This window comes from Homo sapiens, chromosome 20 (assembly GCF_000001405.40).
Source record: "Homo sapiens chromosome 20, GRCh38.p14 Primary Assembly".
NCBI classification, from domain to species: Eukaryota; Metazoa; Chordata; class Mammalia; order Primates; family Hominidae; genus Homo; species Homo sapiens.
In genome coordinates this window covers 38,190,374-38,196,888 of record NC_000020.11, presented here as the reverse complement: position 1 = coordinate 38,196,888, position 6,515 = coordinate 38,190,374, and positions in this window count along the sequence as shown.

Below are 6,515 nucleotides of genomic sequence, written 5' to 3'. Positions count from 1 at the left end.
GCTTTCTCCAGAAATGGAGCCATTTCTGCAATAGCTCTGAAAGCACTGACGCCACGTCAGCTTCCCCTGAGGGCTGACATTTCTCAAGCAGCCTTCTGGGGAACTGGGCAGTTGTTTTGCAACTCAGGCATCATACGTGGGGTACCCTAGGGGCCAGGCTGATAAGCCCCAGAGGTCACAGTCTGACCACAGAGGGCACAGGGAGGAAGGCTCTGGGGTCACAGGGCCAGAGGTCACTGAGAGTCCAACAGCTGCTGTGCCCACTTCTCAGTGGATATTTTGAGCCAAGGTCAGAGCTGGAAGCCCAAGCTGCTTCTGCGTGCTTGCATAGATGAGGAAACTGAGGCTCGGTGAAGGGATTCAGCTTGTCCAAGTCTCCTGAACAGGACTGGCCTCCCCCAGGAGCTCCTGGGGCTGAGAGACCCTCATCAGGGAAGCTCTGGGTGGCTGGCTGTTCCCACTGTCTGTGTTGTGTCTCTTCCCCCACTAGATCTCAGCTGAGACGTCACTTCCTCAGGGAAGCTCTCCTTGATGCCCTCAGTTTACATCAAGTTTTTCTGTTCTCAGAGAACCTCCCTCTTTCCTTTCAGAGCTCACATCTCTTTGCAGTGATGACCTGGTGTCTGTCTCCCAGCCAGCCTCTAAGCTCCATAAGGGGAAAGACCAAGCCAGGCTGTTCTGTTCACCGCCCTGCTCCTGAGCCTAGCTCATAGTGGGTGCATAGTAGGGTCTTGAGGACTATTTGTTGAATGAGTGAGCACAGCATGTGCAAAAGTGTGGAGGCGGAACAGTACGGAAGCATTTTGCAGACAGCGAGGTGACCACAGAAACTGGCCAGGTCCTGGGATGGTTGCTCAGCTCCTCTGTGCACCTGTAGATCCTAGGAATCCCTTTCTGATCTCCAGCACAGCAGCTCCTGATATGCACTTATCCCCAGCAGCCTGCACCTGTGTCTCTGTCGTGGGCTGCCCCAGCTGCCAGAAGTCCTTTTGCCTGGACATAGAGGGAGCTGGAAGTGCCCGAAAACTGATGCCTCCTCTCATTCCCTTGGGGGTACAGCCACTACCCAACGACTGCCAGGGCAGGGGCAATAGAGACTCCAGCTCTCTTCCGCCTCTGCCCTGCCTGAGGACTCACCTTGCTGGCATTCCTGTACTTGGCCTCCTTCCCTTCCCTATCTAGCATCCCGCCTGGCTCTGGTGTTTCCTGTACTTGGCCTCCTTCCCTTCGCTACCCAGCATCCCGCTTGGCTCTGGTGTTTCCTGGGGTCACTCCCTAATAAGCCACTTTCACACAAATCCTGTCTCAGAGCCTGCTTTGGGGTCCCACCTGCAACAGCCCGTCCCACTGAGGACCCCTTTCACACCTGGCTGAAGCTCGGATCAGATACCCCTGGATCCAATCCCAACTCTACTTCTGAGCAGCTGTAGGATCCTGGGTGAAACTTCATTGACCTCCCTGACCTCCACAGCAAACAGTGTGGCAAGAATTAGAACCAGTATTTGTGGGAAACCTGATCCAGGCCAGGCCCTTATCCAGGGATAAGTGGTCATCGTCATCATCATCATTTTCTAACTCTAAGCACCTAGAATTCCACCACCTGTTCAGCCTCAAATGGGAAACGTGGGTTCAGAAAAGCAAGCACCCTGGCCCTGAGCCGTGGACATGCCATGAACTTGGAGGTCTTATTCCAGGAAGTTCCAAAGAATCTGCCTGGTCTCCAGCTTCCCCGCCTCTGCTCCCTGTTCTTGGCCCAGCCCCCAGCATCTCCATAACCTCCTCCTGACCTTTGTCAGAGCAGAAACCTAAACATCAGGGCTTGGGGAAGCCCCAGAAGATCCACATGGGTTGGACTCACTTCGTCTTTCCCCAAGCCTCCTTCAGGGTGACTGGCTTCCCAGCAGTTCCTTAAAGAGGCTGCACTGTCTTGCCCCACCAGGCCTTGGCACCTGCTGTTCCCACTTGCCTACCTGGCTAACTCCTACATATCGTTTAAAAGATAGCTCCAACATCACCTCCTCCTAGATGCCTTCCCTGACCATGCTCTTTCCTAGGTTAGGTTTGGTGCCCTCTTTCGGGATCTATGTCTCCTGTTCTTGACCCAACAACATGGAGCTGGCTACATTTGTGCATATTGATAATTGCCTCTTGTCTTGTCTGTTTCCAGGAGAATTGAGACTGGTTTGTGAAAAGCTAAATCCCAATCACCCAGCATAGCACCTGGAATACATTATGTGGGCAAACAAATGTTTGATGAATGGATGGATTGATGGATGGATGGATGGAAGGATGGATGGATGGATGGATGGAAAGATGGATGGATGGCAACACCAAGCCACCTCCACATCTTCCATCTAAGTTTGTTCCTCCATGTGAGGGAGTGGTGAGTATGACTGCTCATTGTGGGTTTGACTGTTTGTGTTTTTATTTTTTGCTTTGTTTTGGTTTTCCCTTTTTCTAAGGAAATGGTTTTAGTCCTGAGGGCTCTGTCCTAACTCTCTTGTTACCAGGAAAGTGTGGACCCTGGCATCACAGGAGCATCTGTTTGACACACTCCTCTTTGGGGGTGTTCCAAGCATACCCTGCATTCTCCCAAGCCTCTCCTCTCCTCTTAGAGGCCCTGCAATGCGGTGGATGGCTAGACTTGAGAGTGACTCAGATCTGAGTTCTAGTCCCAGGCCCACCACTTTACCAGCAGACTAATCTTAGTAAGCCACTTCTCTGCTGTGTGCCTCAGTTTCCCCAGTTGTTAAATGGACAGCTTAGATGTCCTTACAGGCATTCTGGGGCTCCTCTCCCTGCTTCTTGCCTAGGCAGAAAATAAAGGGTCAAAATATGTGCTCAGGGAGAGAACAGGGGTCTCTTTTCAGAAGAAAAGGCTAGAGCTCAGGGCAGGGCTGGGGGCCTCAGGCTCTGGGGCCTGAATGTCCTGAAAGCCCAGCCTTGGCCCTGGAGGATGGCGGCTTTGCCACTGAGGCCTCCAGCGGGGCTGGGCAGGCTGAGCTGGCAGAGGGAGGAAGCTTGTTTTTCAGGGCCTGGCCTTCCCTGGGGGGTGTCTCCTGCTTGGCCTGCAGGGCTTGGCCCAGCCCCTGGCAGAGCCAAACTCAGCTATGGGTGGACGGTACTGAGAGTGAGCCTGTCCTAGCCCATGTCCCTCTCTGATACTGACCCAGACCCACTGTAGCCTTCCCTGCTTTTTAGCCTGGACATATCTTCCCTGGAGGCTACCCCCCGATGCCTGGCTCTCTTGGACCAGGGACAGGCAGGGGTGAGAGCTGAGGGGGCTGCCTGAAGCAGTGACCATAGAAATTGATCAGGGCAAGATTTCTGGCCACCAGAGCATGGGGGTTAAGAGCCTGATGGCCACTTTTTAAAATCCCAGCTCTGCCTTTTGACCTTTCTGGGACTTAGTTTACTTAGTAAAATGGACTAATGATAGTATCAGTGTTTTTTGTTTTTGCTTTTGTTTTGAGATGGCATCTCACTCTGTCACCCAGGCTGGAGCACAGTGGTGCGATCTCAGCTCACTGCAACCTCTGCCTACTGGGTTCAAGCTATTCTCCTGCCTCAGCCTCCCGAGTAGCTGGGACTACAGGTGTGCACCACCACGCCTGGCTAATTTTGGTATTTTTAGTAGAGACAGAGTTTCACCATGTTGGTCAGGATGGTCTCGAACACCTGACCTCGTGATTCACCCGTCTTGGCCTCCCAAAGTGTTAGGATTACAGGCGTGAGCCACTGCGCCCCACCTGTTTCAATGTCTTAAGGTTGCTAAGAGGGTTGGTAAGTGATTGATCACTCATAACAGTATTTGGCACAAAGTAAATGCTCTATAAACTTTATACTTGGGTCCATGGACCCACAGAGGCCAGAAATCTAGACTTTTCTCTGAAGGTTGAATTCATGGGGGGCTGCGTAAAACCAAGCAGCTGAGCAGGTGGCAGCAGTACAGAGAGAATGTCCAGGCAGGGAGGAGAGAGAAGGGAGGGAGGGTCCCTGGCAAAGTGGAACACGAGGTGGGGTCGAGGGAATGTTTCTTTGGCTAGGAAGTGGGCTGCTTTAAGTTCAGAGACCCTGGGAGTGTGTGTATGCAGTGAGGAGGCAGGGTGAGGGTGATCCCCTGAACTGACCTCAGGAGAGCCTGGTCCCAGCCCCAGTTCAGACCTGCGTTGCTGTGTGACATAGGAAAGCCACCACCCATTTCTAAGATTTGAGTTTCCTCTCCTTCTTGGAACAATCTGGTCTCCAGGAGTTGCTTCCTGAACAATCAGTGATTCTGGCCGAACCCAGAAGACCAGCTCAGGAGCCCGGCTGAGTCAGTGTCCAGAAGATGTGGTCCTGAACTCCGCTCTGATTGTCACTTCCCTTGTGCCCATTTTACAGATGAGCACGCAGGCTCAAAGACTGACTCACTAATAGTTCCCCACCTGTTCATGGCAGGGATGGGTTCAGAGCTCTCCTGCGTGCATAATAATCCACTTATAGGAAATAAACATATCTGTCTCTACAGTGCACAAAAACACCTGGGTAGATTTTTACACACCGGGGGGCATTTGTTTGGGATGATCTGATTTTTTCTTTTTTTTTTTTTTTAAGAGATGAGATCTTGTTCTGTTGCCCATGCTGGAGTGCAGTGGTGCAATCATAACTCACTGCAGCCTCAAACTCCTGGGCTAAAGAGACAGGATGATCTGATTTTAAATACAAGCTGCCTCAAGTATTCAGAATTTGCTTTTGGGGTTTCCAGGTCGACCCAGAGTGTCTTAGAGAAAAAGCAGCTACCCATTGAGTAGGGCTGGAACTGAGGCACCAGGGGAGACATGGGAGATGAGGCGAGTATATTAAGAAGCTGAGCAGACAGAGAAAACAGTGGCCAGGAGGTGGGTGCTCGAATGCTGACACTCATGTCTGACCAAGCTGCCATTTCTTAGAAAGCTGAGTCCATGCTGTTGAAGTCATGTGCTCCTCAGGAGGCAGCAGGGCTTATTTATTTAATGATGACATACCTGACATTTCCATTTGGATGTCTGAGGCAACTCAAACTTCACATGTCTCAAACTCAAACTTCTGCTTTCGCCCCACTAAACCAGCAACTCCTGCAACCTTCCCTTCCCGGGCAATGACAACTCCCTCCTACTGAGGTCAAAACCCTTGGAATCACCTTTGACACGCCTCTCACACGCACACTCAGTCTGTTAGTAAATTCTGTTGGCTCTACTTTCAAGATGTATCCAGAACGTGACCCTTTCTCACCAGCTCCCCTACCTCCACCATTGTCTCTGGCCTGGATTATTTCAATAGTCTCCTTACTGGTTCAGCAGCTCCAAGCTTCCCCGTAATGTGATCTGTTCCTCACACAGTATCCGGAACATCCTTTTAAAAATCTAAGGCACATTGCTTCTCTCCTCTGTTCAAACTCCTTCAGTGGCTCCCATTTCTCTCAGAGCAAAGGACAATGTGTTTGGAATGTTCTAGAAGGCCTAAACAGTCTAGTCCTCTTTGCTGGTTCCTTACAATACCTCTGGGAAGTAAGCAAGGGAGGAGGAATTGCTCCCACTTTACAGGTAGCAGAACTGAGGCCCAGAGGGTAGAGATTATGTTCTTAGGTCTGAAGCACAGAGCATGTGGGGGCTCTGTCCGTCACTCTGTCCCAGAAGCCTGAGTAGGCAGCTGCTGGTGCCTCTAATCAGATGGGTCTGCTCAACCCACCCTCTCTGCAGAGCACTGGCCCCCTGCCCATTCTCCAGAGTCAGACCAGATGCCAAAATAGGCTAATGGACACCGTGTGCTTGGCTGGGGCAGGCCCTCGGATTCCACCCCTTTTTAGGCTAGATCAGAGCAGTGCATGGTCCACTCTGAGCTGCTGAGTAGCCATCAGAGGAATTTAAATCCCCTAAGCCCTGGAGTGGGTCAGCCTCAGGCAGCTTACTTTGCCCCTGCTCTGACTCTGACTTGCTGAGTGAGCCTGGGCAAGTCACTTCTGTCTTCTGAGATACACTCTTTCCACCTGCATGGAGTTCTAACATTTAGGCACTGGAAGAACAAATTGATGGAAGCTGGGCTGTATCCCTATGATAACCAGAAGCCAGAAGATATCAACGATCAGCTTGCTATTGCCGTTGACAAAGGTCCACAGTGGAATGTCACGGGGCTCTGTCCCCAGCCCCATCCTGTTCAACATGTCTATAAATCATTTTAAGGTGGGAAGATGGCCCAGTACAGCACAGCTAGGAGGGGCAATAAGGCATTGGATATCAGAACCAGGATGTCCAAAGACCCTGACCAGCAGGACCGATGGGCTGAATATAAGAAAATAAAATATAATAAGAATGGCTGGGCACAGTGGCTTGTGCCTGTAATCCCAGCAATTTGGGAGGCTGAGGAGGGAGGATCACCACTTCTGGCCTTGTCTTAAGGCCAGAAGCTTAAGACAACCCTGGGCAACATAGAGACACCCTGTCTCTACAAAAAACACACCAAAAAATTTAGCTGGGCGTGTTGGCACGCACCCGTAG